This window comes from Homo sapiens, chromosome 4 (assembly GCF_000001405.40).
Source record: "Homo sapiens chromosome 4, GRCh38.p14 Primary Assembly".
Taxonomy (NCBI): domain Eukaryota; kingdom Metazoa; phylum Chordata; class Mammalia; order Primates; family Hominidae; genus Homo; species Homo sapiens.
Genome location: NC_000004.12, coordinates 154,704,114 through 154,727,741, shown reverse-complemented (window position 1 = coordinate 154,727,741; position 23,628 = coordinate 154,704,114). Strand labels below are relative to the sequence as shown.

Here is a 23,628-nt window from a genome sequence, read left to right as displayed (position 1 = left end):
CATAAACTATTAACCAGAACACCAGTCAAGGTCCATTTTATTGAACCAGAGCAATCAGTCAAGGCCACTCTGTGACCTTGTGACAAGACCATTCATTATCAAGTCTGAGCATAGACAAAACCATAAACATTGTCATCATCATACAAATGACTAATCATTCCTTGATCCTGGCTAGTATGCCTGTGGCTTATTTACCAATTACAGCTGGAGCTTCAGTCTGGTCTTCTTTCCTTCTATATTAGATTTAATAAGTTATCCAACCATAGAATTACCCCTGCTTCCTGAGAACATCCAATCCAGAAATTATTTAAATCCTCCACAAAATTATCTAACACAAGCCCAAATCCTATAATTCCTGTCTAACACCTTCTTACTGAGATATCCCCGTGATTTCTCATGAGGTGCATCCTCTGTCACTACAATAATTAATAACTCATCTTGTTCAACTGCAGGTGTGTTCCTGTTGGTCTTAGGCCACAAGGCATTGACACCAGTGATGATAATATCGATCAACTGGTTAAAGTATGTCTGCCAGGTTTATGCAATGCAAAGTTACTATTTTCCTTTTGTAATTAATATGTTTCTTCTGGGGCAATACTTTGAGACTATGTGCATATCCTGGTACCCCTCAAAGTTTCTACCGTTAGTTTTAGCATCCATTGATAATTCTTGTCTGGATTAGTTATTGTGATGATGATTGCCAAATGGTAATTATTCTAGTCATTCTTTCTACAGTAAGGAGTTATATTTCCATCATAAGAAAAAGGTTTCTATTCTCTCCTGCCTATTAATATTGCTGTGGATTTCATTGTATTATTTTATTCAATGGATTAGATCCATTAATATTTTTATTTCTTTTGATGATCAGGTTGTTCCAGTTTGTCCTGTGAAAATTCCTTCAGACTGACCTGTGTGTTCTTCTGACTTGTCCCTACCATTCTTTGTTTGTTTGTTTGTTTGTTTGTTTGTTTGTTTTAGAGACAGGGTCTCTGTCACTCAGACTGGAAGGCTGAAGTGCAGTGGACTGATCACAGCTCACCACAGCCTTGAACTCCTGGGGCCAAGCGATCTTCCTGACTCTGCCTCCCAAGTAGCTACAGCTGGCTAATTTTTTTATTTTTCTAGAGATGGGGGTCTTGCTTTGTTGCCCAGGCTGGTCTGAAACTCCTGGCTTCAAGAAATCCTCTCACTGGCCTCCCAAAGTGCTGGAATTACAGGCATGAGCTATTGCACCCAGCCCCTATCATTCTTTGAGCACTTCTTTACTTGCTGCCACCATAAAATGTTCCAGGCTCATCTTGTTCTTTCCCAACCCCAATTCTACAATCAATAATTTTTTTTATGTAGCCCCTGTTCCTTTTAGTGTATAGAATGGTATTTAGAAATAAAAATCTGGACACTTTGCATGTAATTGCTAGTGGGGTGCCATTGCTTCTAGATTATCTCAGCAGACAGACGTAGAAAATACCTTTATGACATACAAACACACATATGCATATATGCACACATGCGTACATACATTTATATCTATTTCCGTGTCTCTCTCATGGAAAATCATGGTTTATTACATAAACCATGAATTTATCCTAATACCTGTAATCTGACCCCACAGGGGTCCTTCCAGAGTTGAAAGGCATTTTAAGTATACACACACATCATGAATGGGAGGCAAAAAACCATGTTCCCAACAATGGCAGCTTTAACCGAAGAGCATTTTACAAGAATGAAGAGCATTTTACAAGACTGAAGAGCATTTTCCAGGTATTAGTATGGTTCTTATGGCCATGTGTGTCCAGTACTGTCTATTGGTAATTCCTCTTATAAAGCCCTGCTTACTGTCTACCAATAGTTTCTTCCAGCCGCCTTCCTCAAAGTTAGAGATCAGTCCTTCCAAATGTCAGCAATGGTACTAGTGCCCTTCATATCGGCAATGGGCTTCCACCAATCTTAAATTGATTTTTGCTCACTTTTCACTGACAATCAGTTTGAAGAAGTTTTAAGTCATGGTAAAACTTGCATACAGAAACATCTTTTGTTTTTTCTTTGCTACGGTTGCAGCACTATCACTAGCATTCTGCTGTCAGCCTTAGAATTCAAAGTTGTTTGCCAGGACACAAAGTTGGTGATAGAAAACAAGAAGTCTGCACATAGCATATTAATCATGAGAGTGGTATCAGGGTGGATATTATTTCCTCCAAAATTTTTTACCTGCAATCTTTGTTATCCTTTGATCATAGACTAGCCTGGATATCACAAAGTATGCACAGAAGTCACAATATCTCAGTAGAGGCTCATGGAAGTATTCACAGGAAGATTTACTAATGACCACAGGACAAAGCTATTTTATAACTTCTGTTCAGTGCTCACTGCACTTACACCATGAGAAAAAATATGCGTATATACACGCATACACACACACACACACACATACACACACACACACACACATTAATAGTATGTCCTAATGGATTGTTTTATTTTTATTTATTGTATTTTTTGAGACAGGGTCTCACTCTCTTCGAGGCTGGAGTGCATTGGTATGATCATGGCTCACAGCAGCCTCGACCTCCCGGACTCAAGAGACCCTGCCAACTCAGCCTCCTGAGTAGCTGGGAACGCAGGTGTGTGCCACTGTGCCTGGCTGATTTTTGTAGGGACAGGGTCTCCCTATGTTGCCAGTCTGGTCTCAAACTCTTGGGCTCAAGCAATCCTCCCGCTTGGCTTCCCAAAGTGCTGGGCCACCACACCCAGCTTTATTATTATTCTTGACCAAACAACTTTAATTTCTGTCTTCAATATGAAGTCTACAATCTCTTGAAATGCTCACCTGGCTCTTGTAAAGGCTGAGTCTACACTTTCAGTCTTCATCATTAGGAAGGATGCCTAATTCTACATCTGTCCACTGGGAAGACTCTGGATATAGAAAGTGACCCAGCACAGCATCTGAGTCTCATGACAAAAGCACCAGAGAATCCAGAACCATATTGTTGCACTGAGGACCTCAGCCTAGATCACCTGGGATCTGGTCAGTTGGGGAAACTGGATATGCACACCACCGCCCATCCGACACACTGTGCCACCTCCAGCCACCTGTGCAGCAACCTTGGAAGAGGCGGCCTCCAACACCAAGAAAAGGCCAGCTGGGTCAGAGCCCACGTGCAGCCGCGTCCCCACAATGTCACCAGGCTGCCGTGCTATCCATCATGTGACGGATTGTTTAATATGCGTGTGTATTTATGTTTATGGGTTTATGTGCTTGTGCAGGAAAAATAGTTCAGAGAATATCGGTGCTGACCAAGGAAGTGTGAAACAGGGCATTGTGATTAAAATGTGTAACTGTGAAAGGAGGAGAGGTAGAAATGGGAAATTAAATGAAAGGGGAAAGGGGGCTGAATTACCTGAATGTTGTTTAGATGTCATCCAGCAACAAAATATTAGGTTGGTTCAAAAGTAATTGCGGTTTTGCCATTGAATTTAATGGCAAAAAATGCAATTGCTTTTGCACCAACCTAATAGTTTCCTTTACTTGTGATATTTTAAACATTGTTCTTGTTATTTCTTGAATATGTAAATGAGTATAACTGAAAATATACAAGGATGTATAGAAACAAAAAATGGATTTAGAATAAATATCTTAATTAATTGCACAGGCACCAACAAGAATTTACACATTCAACATTTATTCTAGCATTAAGATTGGCAGAAGACAGCTTCATCATCTTTCTGTTTTTTGAGATGGAGTCTCCCTCTGTTGCCAGGCTGGAGTGCAGTGGCATGATCTCGGCTTACTGCAACCTCTGCTTCCTGGGTTCAAGCGATTCTCCTGCCTCAGCCTCCTGAGTAGCTGGGATTACAGGCACATGCCACCAAGCCCAGCGAATTTTTGTATTTTTGGTAGAGACAGGGTTTCATCATGTTGGCCAGGCTGGTTTCAAACTCCTGAGCTCGTGATTCGCCCGCCTCAGCCTTCCAAAGTGCTGGGATTACATGTGTGAGCCACCACACCCGGCCCATCATCTGTCTTTAAAACTATTTTTTTTAAATACTGTTTTCACATTTTTTAAATTTTTACATTTTTCACCTTTTCTTCAGATTTTCACAGAGCATATATTGTATCATAAGACTGGTATCAGAAAGGATTATTTTTTCCTCTCAACCTTTTTACCTTCAAGGAACTGAAATAACTAGACTTTATATATTTTCCTTTTTACTGTGCAATTTTTGCTACATAGTACTAAATGCATTCATTATTGTTCAAATGAATATAAGCTATATTTAAGAGCAATTTCTAAATATGTTATTTCAAGCAGAGATTAATTTTAAATAAGAAAACCTGACCTAGGTTTTCTATTTTCTTTGTAAGTTTCTAGGTTTACTATTTTCTTTGTAAGTTGATGGCTGTTAATATAAATCTGACCTATTTTTTCCTTGCACATATAACCAAGAGGAATGTGGGCTTAATGAGGAGACTGAAAATTGTATAAGAACTGTTATTAATCATACTTTCATAATTACTGCAATTATATTTAAAAAGAAAAGTCTGCTTATGAATTTCAGGTGACACAGAATTCTACCAGATTTTTTCATTTATTTCCTTATTTACAGGACAAATATTTCAGTCCTGCTGTGCTGGGTGTATACCAGCCTTCCCTAACAATCCAGGTCAGTGTGTGACAGGAATAATATAAAGTCCTTTAGGAGCTCAAAGTAGGATAAAATGTGGCCAAGACTGATTCATATTGTATAAAGTTGAATTGCTTTAACCATATTAGTGCTAGATCACAGCAAAGCCCCAAACACACATGTACCTCATATCCCATTTATCCCTTGGAGGCCTCAGTGTCCAACTCTGCACAAAGAAATAATGCAAGAGATAGTATTCTAGCTATAGAGAGGGAACTGTGGGTAGGATCAATTCCCTTACAAAAATAGAACCAAATTTCAAGTAATGAAGAATGAAAATCCAATCTAATATTTAGAAACTATAAACATATTTTAACAGAGACTTTGTACATAAGTTCCAGTATTCTATTCAAACTAGCATCAAACTAAGCTCAATAGAACCACAGTATTCAAATCTGAATCACTTTCAACTTAGTGCTAGGTGAGGGCAAAGCCCAAAACCCACATGTACCACACACCTCACTTATACCTGGGAAGCATCAATGTCCAACTCTGCACAAACAAGTAATGCAAGGTAGGATGCCACCTGGTTGCAGGGAGACAGACTGTAACAGGCATTCCTTCCCAGAGGCATGGTGATGCAGTACAGTGCTCAAGAGCATAGACTTAGGGGCTGCATTGCCTGGGTTTGAATCCCAGCCAACCACTGTGACCTTAGGCAGATTATCTCATCACTGTGTGCTGTACTTCCTACCCAGTATCCTAAGTATGTTGCCAGGAGGAATAAGTGAATTAGTAAGTGCTGAAAAGCTATGACTGGGTCAGATAGACTTTCAGTAAATAATACCTGTTGAATGAAATGATTAGCTCAATATATGCTAACAAAGTCTTTCTACATGTAGAATACTGTGCTTGGATTTAGAGGCTACTTCCTATGAAGATCTTTAATATGGTTGAGGTAAAATTACTTGATAAGCTTTAAAAAATATGATACAGTGACCATTTAATTTCCCAATAAGCCTATGTCCTCTGTACTCACTTTCACATATTTAATCAGTAGTAAGTGGGGAATATATACTTATGCTATATTAAGTGCTGGTAATATGAAGTGTGAGACATCGTCTCTGCCCTGAAGGGCCTTAAATTGTAGCGGAGGAGGTAGGATATAATAAATAAGGACGAAAAAGGGGCTATGTATCCAGCAATAACTGCGTGGCATAGATAGAAAGTATATTTATATGGGTACTGATATACAAATGAAAAATTTTTATCTGTGGCCTGATTTTTTTTTAGTTAAACACGACTGACTCAATTATTTTCCCTTGAATTGCTGTTCCAGTTTTATATTATTACTCAATGCTTGGTATTTAATTGGTCCACTCTAGTTCCCAAAATTCTATTTCTCTGTGATTTGTTTTGTTATTGTCTTGTTTTGTTTTATTTTCCTCCTGAGTTTCAAAGCAACTGGAGTTCTGGATCTGTGTCTCAGTTCTTTTTTTTTTTTTTAAATCTCCAGTTCACTTTGTGCAGTACATTATATGTATTTAGCACTTACATTATATGTAAGTGCTAAATAAGGACATATTTTGTTTAATAAATATAATATATAGGAACCAAAAGTTAATCTGCAAAACCAAGTCTGAATCAAACCTCTTTCCAATTTAAAATATATAGAGATTCAGTTCAGTTTGCCTATCTACACTGGAGGAAGATGTAGACAACTGGTAGAAGGCATGAAAGAGAGATGTAAGAGTGCTGCAAGGTTTACAAAATAGATTTTATAAAAAGCTAAAGAAACTGGTGTTGTTTAGCCACAAAACAGAATCTAATGAGTGAATGTCACTCAACAGTTGTCTGGCAGATCAGTGCCACTGGAAGGAGAGTACAGATGATTGGCTTTAAACTCTATCCAGAATTATTTAAACCAAAAATTAGAAAAATATATAAACTGTAAAGTACTGCTACTCCAACAGTGGTCTGTGGGCAGACAGCGTCTGTGTAGCGTGGGAGCTACTTAGAATTGCAAATTTGTGATCCCCACCCCAGGCCTACAGATCTGTTTTAACAAGCTCTCCAGGTGACTCTAATGTAAGTGCAAGATTCTTAAGCAGTGCTCTAAAGAATCTTTGCTGGGGAGGGTGCACTTGAAATACTCATCAGGGAAGGTTGGGCCTTTCTTTTCACAAGATTGCTAATCTGAATAGCAATCTGACTGACTGAGTGATTATCTCTGAACACAATCTAACATGGTGAGTGCTCTATTCTTTAGAAGTGTTACTTGCCTGACCCCCACTGGACTTCCCAGGCACCCAGCCTGCCTCTCAGCCTCACTTATTCCTATGATATGGGAACAAGTGAGCGGCTCAGTTTCAGGAGTCTTGAGCACCTTTTGCACCTTGAGAGCATGGCTGTCAGCTAAAAATTCCAGGAGAAGCAGAAGTACTGAAAAATGTGATAGAGGGAGATAAAGCAAAATGTCAAGAAGATAAAGTGTGACACAAGTAGGGAAAATGGGTCAGGAAAAAATTAAAATAAGAAGTATGAACAAGAGAATAGAAGAATAAAGACAGGTGAGCTTATTTAAAGTTAGAATTGGGTTAAATGAGAAGCAAGGGAAAGAAAGGGAATTTAAAGGTAATATGTGAAGAGTAATGGAAAACCTATCTGATAGAGATGCTGTAAGAGTTAAGTGAGTCAGTATGTGTAAAGTGCAACCATGCTTGGCAAACAGTGAGCACTGTGTATGGGCTAGTTATGACTGTGACTTCAATGAATAAAAAGAGGTGGAAGAGTAAGAGGTAAGAAACCACATTAGTTAGCCATGCCCCACGGTTAATACAGGCACAGCCCTTTCTGAAGTAAGGTGATGAAACAGATGACTGACCTCTTAGAAACTTTCACAGTTAACAGTTATTACATGGCTAGTATGCTACACAGCACGTATACACACACACACACACACACACATACATGCACACATACCACTTGTGTATATATATATAATTATGTAGAAAATACCTGTGGTATTTAATACTTTTTTTGCAAATTGAATAGGTATTTTTATTGGCATGTCTAGGCCATTATTTTAAAAAAAATCATCTTTAAGTTACATGAAGAATAATTTAAAAAATAAATATTTATAGAGTAGCATAGCTACAAACAAATTTCATTAAATTTTTGTTTTAAAATGTAGACATACTTTAAATTTGACAAAAACTCATAAAAATAAAAAAATCCTGTTTTGGCTGACCTAGCATACCTAAACCCAATAGGGTGCCTTCTTAATTACTTCCTTTAATGTGTTGAACTTGGTTTCAGTATTCATTAGAGATCAGACTTTCAGGAGAATTTCTTATTAGCTTTGGCTAAATTATTATTGATGAAATGTACAGAAAAATAGAAAATATCAACTGATAATAGATAATCTTTTGAAAGTATTAAATGAGAATACAAGAAAGAAAATAGATCTCGTAGAATCTAGGAATGGAAACGACAGAGGATCAGACTAAGTCTTGAAACACATGAGTGAAATTCACCTCTCTCACTGGCCAATGTTGGTATTGATTGGCACCATATGGCTTGCTCAAAGCAACTAGAAACATATTTACTCCTTCCTTCTTAGTGAAGTTACCAGATGCCCCACCTCCGAAAAGAATATGATTTTTCTCCAATTTTACTTATCCAGAAAATAAAAATCTTAAATTTAAATGTATTGCAGCTTTCCTGATTGCATCATGATTGAGCACACCCAGGAAATGAGTCATTCAAAGATACTCAGAAAGATGCTTTGTGTGTTGTTCCCTGGTACTTAGAGAAAACATCAAGAGCGAATTACTCTTTCTACGGTGAGTTTATTAAGAAGAATAACAAACCATGCTCTTTGTTCTCTGGAAAATTTCAGCAATGTGTGTGTGAGGGTTGAGGTGGGTGGACGGTGGTGATATTGCTGACCAGAAGGTAAGCCATGTGGTGGCCACATGCTTCTCTGGTTGACAAAATCAGAAAGTGTATTTCTAGGTCTAGATATTTCCCAGGATTTAGCTTTTCAAGTGTAGATTCCAAGATTATCCAGACACTGAAAACGGCCATTCTACTTTTAAATTATTGTATTCTGGAGTAATGATTCAGTTCAACATCCCACACTGTTGGTGCCAGTTATCCAGCTGATTAGAGCAAGTTGTTAATGAGTACAAGGTTGGAATCACACAGGGTAATTAGTTTTCAGTCCCTTGTACAAATGGCTCTAATCTCAGGACGTTCAAAAAATGCATTTTACAAATAACAAAGGGGACAGGGTGAGAAAGTAGAACTAACTGGTAGAAATTTATCAATATCCTTAGAGATAAATAAATATATCCCATCTGCTTAAATACTCAAGTTAGAAAGTGGGCAGGTTTAGATGACACAAGCTTTAGGCCACTATATATGTTTTACTGAACTGTACAACCATCTCCTTCAGAAACCTAAAAGTGGGCACAAATATCTAACTCTGAGTCCTACTTACACAAGAAGAAGCATCATTCAATGCCAAATACTTAAGGAACTATTATATTCTTACGGAAAATATACTTTGTTCAAATGCTGAATACTCACTGAAATGGAAATTAAAGAGCAATAAAATATGTAAGGTTTGCTTTTGTTGGGGAGGGAAAAAATAGCTTCCCTCTACCTTCCTAGGTTCTTTTGCTGGGGTACCAATGAAATTGACAGAAGATAGATTAACAGGAGAAAAACCATATTTAATTTCTTATGTGCACACAGGAGTCCCACAAAATATGAGACTTGAAGAAGTACCAGATGATAGAAGCTTCTATTGTATCTTGAGCTACAGTAAAGGAATAGGGGCATGGTGCTTCTAGTGGATGGTAGAGAGAGGTTGCAGGAGGGTGAGGGGAGGAAATGTGTGATGAATACAGATTGTCTTATTATGCAGATAAAAAGTCTCTTAGGTAATAAAAGTTGTCTCACAGCAGGTCTCTTTCTGGTACAGATACTTTTACTCATGTAGACTTCCTTCATACATGTAAGTTTCTTTTATAAAAGGGGAGCTTTTCAGAGCTACTCCTGTGTCTGCAATTTCCCAGAATTTCCCACTCAATTTCCCACTCAATTTATGCAATTTCCCACTCAAAATATGCCAGAGAAGCAGATTCTGGTCACCTACAGTCATATTTTGGGGTGGAGCATCCTAAGCCCCAATGCTGTCTTTTGACAAAATGCCTCTATTATGATACAAATGAATTTCCTTGGGCACAGAAGTGTTTGTAAAAGGCAGAAAACTAAAAATAACTAGACATTTGGAAAGTTTATTAGTTAAGTCATTGAGAGTCATTAAAAATTTCCTTTTTGGGGGTGTGGATGAACAAGAAAATAATAATCTATCAATCAGAGCTGGATTTCAGGAAGTCTAGTTTAAGCATTATTTTAAATTATAGATTAGGAAAAAATAGTCGCTCAAGTCAGAGAGAGCAATTAAAATGCTATTTTAGTAGTCTAGTTCTAGATTTTCTAGACTTGTGTTCTGTGGAACACTCAGGAGATGTTAATTGATGTGGCATCAGAAAAATGCTTCCATTGTAAAATAAATTTGTAAACCCCTATATATTATACTGCCTTAGAAGATATTTATATTTTTTAAATGAAAGGTTCAGAGAGGATACTCAGCAATAAAACCTAGTTACTTTCATCTGACCCAGTGTCTACCTCCAAAACATATTTGCTCCTGAAGAACTCTTTTCATTTTCTTTGTATGCTTCTATGAACCTTTGATAGACTGCAAGAGAGCAGATTGGAAATACTGGTCTAAATGAAAGCACACACTAGCATGGTGACAGTGGAAATGAAATAAAAGAGAAATATTTAAAATTTTTGAGGAAGACTTACCAGACTTTACTCTGGATTTAGGGACCAGGGAAGAATCAGAGAAGATTGAGGTTTGTGACATTGGTTACCAGGAAAATGATGGTATCATTGACATTGATAGGAAAGAAAACAGAGGTGGCTTTGGAAGAAGAGATGACAGATTTGCTCAAAAAATATTTGTTTAGTACAGTTGTGCTAAGCACTGTGCTATAGCTGTGCTAGGCACTGGGCCACGGATATGACACAATCCATTTTCTAAAGGAACTTCAAGTCTTCACTCTTCTTTATCATCCAATTAACATTTTTTAAAGCACTATGCTAGATGCTAGGGGCTAAAAGAAATAAAATAAGAAACCATCCTTGTCTTTAAGAAGTCTCAGGCTGGTAGCTGAAACAGTCATGTATAAAAATGATCGCTAAACACAAAATACTATACAAGAAATATGCCAAAATATTTTGGATGTCATTTTGTTGAATTTCAGGAGTAGCAGTGGGCATCCAAGTGGAGTTATCTGTCAGGAAGCTGGCAGTTTGGCCTGGAGTACAACAGAGGAGTTATGGCTAGCCATGTTTGTATTTTTCAGAACATTCACTTAGATGAGAAGGCTAAGGGCAGTCAGCAGAGGGGACCCAAGCCCAGTATCCAGTGTATGGGAAGAGGATGAGGAATAGGAGCCCCAAAGATGGAACAGCGAGAATCCTGGATTTATACAGATAGTGAAATATTAAAGTAGAATTCAAGAAAATGAAGGGGCTCATTTGGTATGGTCTCAGTCTTCCTAGGAGCATCAAGAGGTAAACTGAAGCAAAGGGAGAATAAATGATCTTTAACAAGGGATTTATCAAGGATCCAATTTTGCAGAGAAATCCAAGGAATTTGAAGAGTGAGAGAGAGTGGTTCTGGCAACTGGGCATTACTCAAGAGAGCAGAATTAGAGGGTAGAAATCAGATTACAAGAGATTTAAAATCCAACGGATGGTGAGGAACTAGAGGCAGTGATTGCATAAAACAGTTTATAGACTCTGAGCCTTCTGCTGAAGAAATGATAAGGAACATTAAGGAGTTAAGTGGCAGGTTTAAGAGTTTTGGTTTTTGCTTTTATTTGATATTTGGGATAAGGACACTTAAGCACTTGTCTAAGGAGAAGAAGGGACTGGCAGGGTATTAAAGACGCAAGAGACAGAGTCAAGGATGAGATGCAGTGGGATGTTACCAAAGCTTTGAATGGAGCTGTTGTTATCTTTGGAAAGAAGATGAAAGATTTCCTTCTGTAAGAGTGGAGGAAAGAGAACAGGGTGAACAAAGATGAAGAATAGTAAAGGGAAGAGGGAGGGAATTCAAGTTTTTGTTGACTGATATGAAGAGTCTGAGAAAACAAAAATATGAAATTGTAACAGCAGATAATCCCCAGTGTATTTAGGAAGAGCAGAAAAAGTTTCATTCAAATGCCAGTGCCAATGCCCTGGGAGTCAACTAGAAATCACTACAGGTATTGCTAATCATGGTAGTGCTAGAGGAATTCTTGGTTGTGCAGGATTTTTGTCTTGCGCATTTATAGAAAGCTTAGCATCACTGGCTCTTCTCCACTTGTGTTAGTCCATTTTGTATCACTATAAAGTAATATCTGAGAATGGGTAATTTATAAAGAAAAGAGGTTTAATTGAATCACGGTTCTGCAGACTGCACAGGAAGCATGGTGCTGCCATCTGCTTAGCTTCCGGGGAAGGATTCAGGGAGCTTACAATCATGGCAGAAGGTGAAGAGGTGGCAGGTGCATCAGGTAGCAAGGGCAAGAGCAAAGTGGGAGAGGCGCTACATTTTTTAACAACCAGGATCTCATATAAACTCAGAACAAGAATTCAGTCATTATCAGGAAGACAGTACCAACATATTCATGGAGGATCCACCCTCATGACCAAAATATCTCCCACCAGGTCCTACCTCCAACACTGGGGATTACATTTCAACATGAGTTTTAGAGGTGATAAAGATCCAAACCATATCACCACTAAATGCTTGTATTACTCCCTTGTCATTGTGATAACCAAAAAACACTGATGCTAATTTCCAAGAGTCCAGGTTGAGAATCACCTTGCAGATGTTAGACAGCCTGACAATACAGCAGATTCAAATGACCTTCCCCAGAGACACTTCGGAACCCAAGATCAGAGTTCAGTCATTTTAAAAGCTTTGATAAGGAAAGAGTAAAAGAAATATTTCTAGATATGCTTTTCCATTCATTGAGAATATTTATGTCATTCCCAATCTATCTCCACAGGCCTATTTCCAGTAAGAGCAATCCCTCAGCACACATAGTATTTTAGAGCTAAATACAGTTGCACAGACTAATTATTGCCAATTCAGAGACATTTTTATAGGCAACGTACATCTGAAACCTGATGCTAAGCCTGGCCCTGAGCCCAGGATGTTGGATGGTGGGGGCAGGACCAGAGTAAAAGTACCATGAAGGAGGCTAAAAGGGAATTGGAGAACTTAGCCTTTGGGAAATTCCCTGCTAAGGTCTCAGCTCAGAGCACTAGCACCCAACACAAACATGGGTCAGGTTTTGGGAGTTTGAAAATGCAGCTTCTGACCTGCCTCAACAAACACAGTCCTAGAAATACTGACATAGTAACAGAGCTGTCGATGGAAGAGTTTTACCAGCCCATGCAGAGAAAAGGTCTAAGTTAAAGATAGCCTCTTATCAAAATAACTCATGGAGACTGATAGTATTATCTCAGAGCTAGACCTCAGCTTCTGCTTATCTGGTTTTCTTATGTTCATTAAGAAAGTCTCGGTATGCCTTGCTAACTTGTCTGATGATGACATTGGCCTTCCCTGACCTCGTCCTATATAGCTAAGCCAATGGGCTTCATCCTCCATAGCTTTGCCCTATTTTGACCCTAGTGTACTGAATTATGGCCCTCAATTAAACTTGCCAGTGGTTCTTCAGTTGCGATCTCAGTCCATTTCAAACACTTTTCCCACTCAAAATACTGATGGTGATCTGTCTGGTTTTGGTCTCTGCCTATGTTCCCACAACTCATGCATAAATCTTCTTAATGCAATGCCCTGCCTTCTAATTCTTGTTTATTAAAGTGAAGTAGCACATTCCAGCCCCCATAGCTATTGGTCTGACATTTCCAAATGTCTAAAGTAACCAAGGCATTCCATAAGACCTACATTTATATGAAGATGGGGCTTTCAATGGCTTTATTTTAGGTGAAGAAATGCCAAGAATAAAGTATAGCTTCACTGTTGTTTTTAGTTAAGTACAAAATGCTAATGAGCTAAAAAAAGAAAACTTGCAGTGTGCTTAAGTAGGATCATATTCCAAAATCAAAGACTTTAGAAAAGATTATTTATAAAGAAATACTAGCATCTATCATACTCCTTTAGGTTTGAATGTTCTAATTGTTGATTTTGAAGTGTAAATAAATTCATTTAATTATTTTGATCCTCTGTTCTCAAACTGTTAAGGTATATGAATTTCTAAAATCAGCTATCAGAAAATGAAGTTAAATAATTATAAAATAATAAACTGATTAAAAGAAAAATTACAGTTTATTTGTTATTGAAAATGTTAATTTTTAACAAAAACATAACATAATCATATCAAACAGATATATAATTTAGAATTTTACATGCACATAATATCTCATATTTTGAATATATTTCTTTTTTTTTTTTTTCGAGACAGAGTCTCGCTCTGTTGCCCAGGCTGGAGTGCAGTGGTGGGATCTCAGCTCACTACAACCTCTGCCCCTCCGCCTCCTGGGTTCAAGCAATTCTCCTGTCTCAGCCTCCTGAGTAGCTGGGCTTACAGGCACCCACCACAATGCCTGGCTAATTTTTATATTTTTAGTAGAGACGGGGTTTCACCATGTTGCCCAGGCTGGTCTTGAACTCCTGACCTCAGGTGATCTGACCGCCTCAGCCTCCCAAAGTGCTGGGATGAACCACCGTGCCTGGCCTTGAATATATTTCTTATACTTTAAAAAAAACTCTTTAATTTGAAGAAAATCAGACTGTTTACATTTCACTTAGAGTGAGCAACTGAAATAGACTCCAATTTCATTAATATAATTTTTCCAGCATATGATACAATAATAAGATTTCTGACACTGAGGCAATGTCTAAAGACATCACATGCAACATTGCTACACTAAGTCCTATAATATAAACTTAGTTTTTCTATACTTGTATTTCTTTAAAATATGTCACACTTTGTATTTTAATTACATGGTAGATCATGTTTCTTCCTGTCAAGTCCTACCATTTCTACCAAGATTTTCCCAGCCCATGTCTCTCCCACCTACTAGGTTTAATGTTTGAAACACCCATTTGAGCATTTATCCCCCAAAGGGTCTCCTATTGACTTCTAGATGCTGCAAACCCTGTCAATTTCACAAGTGTACAAAGAGTGTCAAGCAAGGCCACCAGTTCATTTTGGAGGATAACGATCGTGTTTTCTGTTTTCCTGTATCCTCCAAAATGTGGACAAAAGGTAAAAGTCCTAGAATTGGAATAAAAACATTTGATCTCCTAATTCGAAATCGATACTCAGGACTATTTATAAACCCAAAATATAAATGTGATAATTTAGCCACTTAAATTGAGCCATGCCTTATTACTGATTTTCCTTCAGGTTGCTCTTTATGCAGAATATTTTGGAAGTAATCTCCTATGACTTGATCAGTTAGACATATTTTTAAGTATGGATAGTAGACAGGATGCTGTGTATGATATCTATTATATACAAAACATCACATTAATAAGCACATATGCTGAAGATGAATGAGATGACTAGCTAGTTTGAAGTACAGTATCAATCTGATTTTGAGATAATACTCTTTATTGGGTGGCCAGGGTTGGGGATGAGAATGGCAGGGGTTGTGGGATGTAGACTGGACAGGCTGTTGCCATCACAGTGAATCTGTTGATAGTGAATGTCACTCTTCCTGCTTTCATGACATCCAGAGATTCTCTAATTTAGACTTTCCAGATTTAGGTATATCCAATTTAAGATATACCTAAATATTGTACAAGACATACTTATGTATAAAAAGTTATTTATTGTTTATCTGAAATTCAAATTTAACAGGGAGTTCTATATTTTTTCTGGCAACTCTAAGTATCTCAAGGGGTGTTATGAAACTCTAATAACATTCATTTCTTTTAATTTTTGAAACTAAGCATATGCTATATAGGTGCAACTTGCAAAGAGAGGATTAAAGATTAACAGAAAATCAAATGAATAGTGTTAGGATATTAATTTCAATAGACTGTAAGTTTTATGAGGTCAAGAAACTTGACCATCATGCTCACTGATGTAACTCCACTCAAAGTAATGTTCTAGGGAATGGTAAAGGCTAAATAATTTTTGAGTGAAAAATAACAGAAATACATATCTTAATTTTTTAGAAAATGCAAATTCTTCTCTTTTATCATCAGTAATAAATGGTTGGCTAGCTCATTTTTTTAGTTACCTCAGCTCAAATAACTTGGCAGAAGCTACTGGTGAAGCTGAAGTCCACAAACTGGCTTTGGCCATAATCCAGATACCTTCCCAGGTGTAGACAAAGTGTACATGGAGCCACTGTTTATAAAAATACAAATATGGGCACCTTTAATAATAATTTGTACACTTTCATTCTTTTCAGCTTATAAACTCACTAGACAATAGAAATTTAGGTCCACTCTGATTTTTGCATATTAATTTTATAAAAGGAAAATAGCTTTTACAGTCCACCTAAAGGCATTTATTAGAAGATAGCCTCATTATTCTTGGGATTTCAGTAGCAAGATAAGTGAGGTTAAAAAGGAAGAAGAAGTTATAAGGGAAGGATCTGGCAATTTCTAGAAAGAAAAAAGAAAGAAATTTTAAGAGGGAAAGATAGTTTTTAAGTATATATAAATAAGGAAATATATGTGAATAAAAAATAGAAACATGGTGATAATGAAGAAATACTGTACTATTTAGAGAATACTTAGAGAAAAGAAAAAGGGAGCTCTTAACAAAAGACCAATTAATAGAATGAATAAATTAATACTATGAAATAGGAGTAGATTTTCTGACCTCACATATGTTTAATATATTTCTTTTTTGCCAAAATGAATTCTTCAGAGCCCCAGCTTATCTGAAGCATACATTTCTTCTCTGTTATGTTGGTAAGAAAATGGCTTTGAAGCAATTGACTAATTAATGTTATTGAATACAGTAAACACAGATTTTAATTGTTTGATACAAATGAAAACATTAAATGACTGCAATCAAGTTTAGAGACGGGCAAAAATGTTTTTGATAAGCAAAAGCACACATATATGTGCAGAGTTGCCTTTGTCCTGCTTCTTGCATTGGCCAGATCTTCGAAGAGATGTGTGAGTGAAGCACTTGGTAGATCTATGAATGGAAGAAAATTGAAGACATATACCAAAAAATAAAAAGATGGTCCTATGGAGTGTGGTTGTTCTAACACTGAAGTGACAGAGAGCAGCTTAGCTGGTCAAAGTTAGACAGTCCCTTTTTGGAGGAATCTTCTCTCAGCACACTAGGTAAAAGACATGTTTCTTTAGCCCTCCAAAAATACCTAACATTTATAAGGCGTAATTGCGTGTTTTGCTTAAGAAAAAAAGTCCAATTTTTAGGTAAAGCCAATAATAAAGTGAGAGTAGCTGAAATAGCCCTGCAAAAATGCTAGAAAGGAAAAGAGATCTATCATGTCAAGTAAACAAATGGGAAGCATAACATTTCAGATTTTTTTCTTTTTATAATGAATTCATGGAAATAATTACCTTTTGTCTGCATTCTAAATTCACATCTCATCTTCATGGGAGACTAAAATTTTCTAGATTATCACTGAGGTTGAATAGCATTTACTTATGCAGAGAACCATACAATGCATACCAGTTCACAAGATAAAAAATATGCAAAACTAGTAAGACCTCCTTATTTTGAATTAGTAAGAAAACCATTCCAAACAAGTGGAGAAAAGCCACCCTCAGTTATAAAATATCCTTAGAGCAAATTTCATAGGGGTACAAAAATTAAAATTAAGCTAAGAAGCTTATGGACAATTACAGTGTAAGTCCTTTGAATATATAGGCAACCCTCCCATTGCACATTTACAGTATGCACAAATTTTAGTTATTACAAATTAGTTGAATAGTGCTAGGCTCCCAAAAATATGATTCCTATTTCAGTTACCATAATATATTAACTGGGTGTAATTGCATAACTATTACAGTTCATGCACACACAGCAAACCATGTAGCTGTGTTGCTTCCTTGTCTCCCAGCGATAAACTCACATGACATTTTACAAAAATGCAAGAGAGAACTGGCCAAGAAAGACGAAAGTGCACAAATAAATGTTATGTGATAACACTGGAAGTAAAATCCGAATCCGTTGCAAATGTAACTATAGAAGAAAGAGCAGACAGGGAGAATGTTGACACTGCTGACCTTTTAGAGACTCCAGAGAAGGCAAATTTATCCATGTAAGTGAGGAAAGTGATTGTGACTAAAAGGATGAAGATGTCCCAGGGGTAGTGATGCTAGCCAAAACAGATAAACAAACAAAGCTTCACATTAAAGGAATTCTCGGAGATATTTCACAACATTTAAAAGCACAGAGGATAAAATGTTGGAAGTAGATCCAAATGTGGAAAGGAATATGAAAAGTCAGAGTGGATCTGTGGATTTATTTTAGCTACCTAAAGCTGACTGTAAAGGTTGAGAGTTTTGCAAAGTTCTCCCTCTCTTTCTCATGTTAATGGAAATTAACATTTCCATTTCGTGACTACTTTCCACAATGATTGCCTTTTCTGTACCCTTCCCACCTTCTCTAGAGTGTTAGATCTCCCCCAGCTAGGATAAGATCATTTCCCTGAAAGTCTACCTCTCAAAATCCAATCTAAAATTTTAGACTTCCACTTAATGTAGGCCTATCTTTGATTTATGCAACAATAACCTTTATACTTGCTTTGACCAAGTGGAATGTAGGTCATCATTTTTTTCCCCATGAATCTCAGTCTAGTCAGTATCTTCCATGAACTCAACCCTAAGCTCACACATGTATGCCACACTCAGGTTCTTACCAATCACAGACCTCAGATTAAACTGTTAGTACTTCCTGTCAAAGTAGTGTACATACTTCCCATATTATACTTATGTCTGCCAACAATATACTAGGAGATAGAATCAGTAATGAAGAATGAGAAAAATAATTGATTTTGTAGAAAATATCAGGTAGAGAAAAGGAACATACCTTTTAGGTCATCATCTATCCTGGGAGAATTTGTATGAAGCCAATATCTCCAGTGTAAAGGTGAGATTTTCACGAAAGAATTCAGCACGTTCCCCATTAATGTGGATAATGACTTGGAAAAAAAATTGTTTAAAAAAATTCATTTGGCCGGGCACGGTGGCTCAAGCCTGTAATCCCAGGACTTTGGGAGGCCAAGGTGGGTGGATCACAAGGTCAGGAGATCCAGACCATCCTGGCTAACACGGTGAAACCCCGTCTCTACTAAAAATACAAAAAATTAGCGGGGTGTGGTGGTGGGCGCCTGTAGTCCCAGCTACTCGGGAGGCTGAGGCAGGGGAATGGCATGAACCCAGGAGGTGGAGCTTGCAGTGAGCCAAGATTGCGCCACCGCACTCCAGCCTGGGCAACAGAGCAAGACTGTCTCAGAAAAAAAAAAAAATTCATTTTCTCCCATTCTCTAGCTAAGAAATGAGAACACAAGAAGGTTTTATGAATAAGAAGGATGGCACCTATAATTTAGTTTCATTGGAATACTAACTGATCAGTTCTTCACTCTTGTTTTTGAAGTTTTATGAAAGCTTTATGAAATCACATGGAGTATATTGCTTTGTCATTCTACTTAGTGCCAAAATAATAGTAAAAAAAAAATAACCTGCATTCAACCTCTTCTTTTCTGCTTCTGGACAAGCACTCCTTTCTCAGGAATTCCTGACTCTGCTTGCTGATGGTGAAGAGAGAGTGGCAATGAACTCTATCTGATAGTCTGGGGCAAACTCTGCTGCAGAAGCCCTGAGGCTGGCACCAGAATCAATGACTCTTTGTTTCTCGTGGGCTGGTGACTGATGCCTGCCTCATCAGTCCAGTCTCCTAGGAAGAGCATTTCCAGCTTCTTCACCCTATCCTCTGAGAATTCAATCACGTCTGAGGCACACCTTCTCTCATGTGCCAGGCCCACACAATGGAGCTTTCTGTGCCATAAGCAATGTCAGCTTCATCTTTTTGTCGGGGTGTGGTGAACCTGACTCACACATTGATGTACAGTCAACTCACATGGTGACAAGAATCTATAATAGCATGTCTTCTAAAGTGACTTATATGACTTCATTAGTTTATATAATTATACAAGAGGAGAACCATGTCTTTTTCTTCTTTGTGTCCTAATATCTAGCACAGTGAGTGCCTACAACGTATATAAGCTCTTACTAAATATTATACTAAACTGTACATTTTTTATTTGTTTGCTGTTTTTCAGGACAGGCCCTTGCAATTAACTTTTGATCAATGCAAGTGCTGTGAGAACTGGAACCAAGTTGGGCAGAGTAGGCAGGCAATAAATAATTGCATTGATCAAATCATTCCTCTTACCATTCTGTATATATGACAGGACTATTTTTATTTCCAAGCTGTTCCACTTAAACAAATAGTATCTTCACTCTCCTCCTGTCCTTTTCATTCTATTTAAAACAACTACTTAGCTTTTCTTGCTTAATATTACTAAGGCAAAAGTGGTTGATTGAATGGTGCCATTGTTACTTTTATATACAGAGAACTTGCCATTGGAAGTTCTAGACAAAGCTTAGATTCCTGGCATAATAGGTTTTATTTATTTTACAAAGTGATCTGTCAAAAACGGAGGCGGCCATCCTGAATACCGTTACTAGGTACTTCCCTACAGGGTCTCATTCAGGATGTGCTCTTTCCCAATGTTAAGAAATATACTGAGGCAGTGGCATTTAAATATTTGCCCTGAGATACTATCAAATATATCCAGATGGAGACATTCAGCAGCAGTGAATAAGGCTATCCATTTCCCTATTGTTTATGCCTATGAGGAACAGATGAGTGGTTCTTTTTATTAATGAGTAAAGAAATGCCTTCTAAAAACCAAATAATAAAAAAGAGTTGTAAATCTCCTTTAAAAATTAGTGTTGTATCCATGCCATATACTGGAAGCCCTAGAAACTCCTTATTAATTTGTTATGGCCCAAATTTCTAAAAACTATATTTTAAAAATCTGCAGATGGCATTGATCAGTGGCACTACCCACTCCTTTTCCACCATGGCACATTTTCATCATTTTTCATGAACAAGGAGACTGGATCATCTCACATTTCGATAACATCATAGAGATCCAAAACTTAGCATCCATATTGTCAATAATCAAGTTGATGTGACTCCTACAAATGAATTCATCAACATAAAACATTATAATTTGTTATTGTATCCCCTCAGATTCTATGCAATTGACTTTTAACAGCAGAAGATAATTCAGGAAGATTAGGGTTCAGGCAGATTTTAAGGGCAAGTTCAAAAACTCCTACGCAGGATATATTTTCTATGGCTTTCGACAAAGACGAAGTAATTCTAGGAAGCTGTTTTTGACAAGACCATGAGTCTTACTTTTTTTTTATTATAATTTAAGTTCTAGGGTACATGTGCACATCATGCAGGTCTGTTACATATGTATACATGTGCCATGTTGGTGTGCTGCACCCATTAATGGTCATTTACATTAGGTATTTCTCCTAATGCTATCCCTCCCCCCTCCCCCCACCCCACAACAGGCCCAGGTGTGTGATGTTCCCCACCCTATGTCCAAGTGTTCTCATTGTTCAATTCCCACCTATGAGTGAGAACATGCAGTGTTTGGTTTTCTGTCCCTGTGATAGTTTGCTGAGAATGATGGTTTCCAGCTTCATCCATGTCCCTGCAAAGGACATGAACTCATCCTTTTTTATGGCTGCATAGTATTCCATGGCACACATTAAGAATATGTGCCACATTTTCTTAATCCAGTCTATCATTGTTGGACATTTGGGTTGGTTCCAAGTCTTAGCTATTGTGAATAGTGCTGCAATAAACATATGTGTGCATGTGTCTTTATAGTAGCATGATTTATAATCCTTTGGGTATATACCCAGTAATGGGATCGCTGAGTCAAATGGTATTTCTAGTTCTAGATCCTTGAGGGATCACCACACAGTCTTCCACAATGGTTGAACTAGTTTACACTCCCACCAACAGTGTAAAAGCGTTCCTATTTCTCCACATCCTCTCCAGCACCTGTTGTTTCCTGACTTTTTAATGATCACCATTCTAACTGGTGGAGTCTCACATATTTCTAATTGGAGTTAAAGGAGGCAATAGAAAAAGAAAACAAAATATTTAGAGAGACAGCAGTTTATAATCTTCCAGAATGAATGAAAGAGCAAACTCTCTGATGCAAAAAAAAAAAGTGAATGAAAACAAAGCAAATAAGAAGAAATGCATACCTAGAAAGAACATGGTGAAACTGCAGAATGCCAACAATAAAAAAAGTCTTTAAAGAAGCCAGAAAAAGATATTACCATCAAAACACTGCCAAACTGACAGCTGATTTTTCAGCAGCAATAGTGGAATACTCAAAGTGTTTACAACTTAAGTTTTCAGATATTTCTATTGAAACTATCTTTCAAAAACAAAGGAGAAATAAACACAATTTTAAAGACTATTTTTTAGGGCAGTTGTAAAATTGACAGTAAAATTGAGCAGAAAGTACAGTGTAACCATATATCCCTCAACCCTACACACATACAACCTCTCCCACTATCAACATCTGGCATCAGAATGGCATATTTGTTGCAATTGATGAACCTACACTGGCACATCGTTATCACCCAGAGTCTATAGTTTACATTAGGGTTCACTCTTGGTGTTGTACATTCTATGAGTTTGGACGAACGTAATGACACGTATCCACCATACAGAATAGTTTCACTGCCCTAAACATCCTCTGTGCACCACCAATTCAGCCTTCCTTTTCTGCTAACCCCTGGCAACTCCTGATCTTTTACTGTCTCTATAGTTTTGCCTTTTCCAGAATGTCTATAGTTGGAATAATACAATATGTAGCCTTTTAGATTGGATTTTAGCAATTTGCGTTTAATGTACCCCCTTCATGGCTGGGTAGCTCATTTCTTTTTAGTGCTATTATTTCATTGTCGGAAGGTACCACAGTTTATTTAACCATTCACCTACTGAAGGAGACCTTGATTGTTTCCAAGATTTGGCACTTATGAATAAAGTTGCCATAAACATTCATGTGCAGGATTTTACATGGACATATGTTTTCATCACCTCTGGCTGAATATCAACAAGCGCAATTATTGGATCATATGTTAAGAGTATGTTTAGTTTTGTAAGAAACTGAAAAACAGTCTTCCAAAGGGCCTGTACCATTTTCCATTCCCACCAGCAATGAGTGAGAGTTCCCATTGCTTCACATCCTCACCAACATTTGGTGTTGTTGGAGTTTTGAATTTTGGCCATTTTAATAGATGTATAGTGGTATTTCAATGTTTTAATTTGCATTTCCCTGATGACATACAATGTGGAATATCTTTTCATATGCTTATTTGCCCTCTGTATAACTTTTTTGGTGAGATATTGCTTAGTTCTTTGGCCCATTTTTTAAAAATTGAGTTGTTCATTTTCTTTTGTTGAGTTTTAAGATTTCTTTGTATATTTTGGATAACAATACCTTTATCAAATAGGTCTTTTGCAAATATTTTTCTCCCAGTCTGTGGTTTATCTTCTTATTTTCTTGACATTGTCTTTTTCAGAGCAGAAGTTTTTAATTGTAATGAAACTCAATTTATCAATTATTTCTTTCAAGAATTGGGCCTTTGGTGTTGTACCTAAAAAGTCACCACCATACCCAAAGTCATAGGCTTTTTCCTATGTTATCTTCTAGGAGTTTTATAGTTTTGAATTTTACACTTAGGTCTATAATTTATTTTGAGTTAATTTTTGTGAAAGATGTGAAGTTGTCCCATATTCTTTTTTTTTTTTTTTTGCATGTTGCTCTTCAGATGTTCCAGCACCATTTGTTGAA

At 37.2% G+C, this 23,628-nt stretch overlaps 1 long non-coding RNA gene and 1 pseudogene across 2 annotated transcripts in view, besides 3 other annotated features; both read right to left on the bottom strand.

The window, feature by feature from the left end:
• LOC124900169 (uncharacterized) overlaps positions 1 to 23,628 on the bottom strand; it is a 109,752-nt gene that overhangs the window by 8,394 nt on the left and 77,730 nt on the right. The window lies entirely within an intron of this gene.
• Positions 2,862 to 3,156, bottom strand: NDUFB2P1 (NADH:ubiquinone oxidoreductase subunit B2 pseudogene 2; annotated as a pseudogene).
• Positions 6,495 to 7,059: an enhancer, noted in NCBI's record as "NANOG hESC enhancer chr4:155641835-155642399 (GRCh37/hg19 assembly coordinates)". NCBI's record gives its function as "activates a minimal SCP1, AML or CMV promoter by ChIP-STARR-seq in naive and primed H9 embryonic stem cells {active_cell/tissue: H9 hESC(naive and primed)}" and the evidence as "EXISTENCE:reporter gene assay evidence [ECO:0000049][PMID:30033119]".
• Positions 7,656 to 8,855: an enhancer, noted in NCBI's record as "MED14-independent group 3 enhancer chr4:155640039-155641238 (GRCh37/hg19 assembly coordinates)". NCBI's record gives its function as "activates an origin of replication core promoter dependent on BRD2, BRD4, P300/CBP and CDK7 cofactors, and independent of MED14, by STARR-seq in HCT116 cells {active_cell/tissue: HCT116}" and the evidence as "EXISTENCE:reporter gene assay evidence [ECO:0000049][PMID:35650434]".
• Positions 8,122 to 8,623: an enhancer, noted in NCBI's record as "NANOG hESC enhancer chr4:155640271-155640772 (GRCh37/hg19 assembly coordinates)". NCBI's record gives its function as "activates a minimal SCP1, AML or CMV promoter by ChIP-STARR-seq in naive H9 embryonic stem cells {active_cell/tissue: H9 hESC(naive)}" and the evidence as "EXISTENCE:reporter gene assay evidence [ECO:0000049][PMID:30033119]".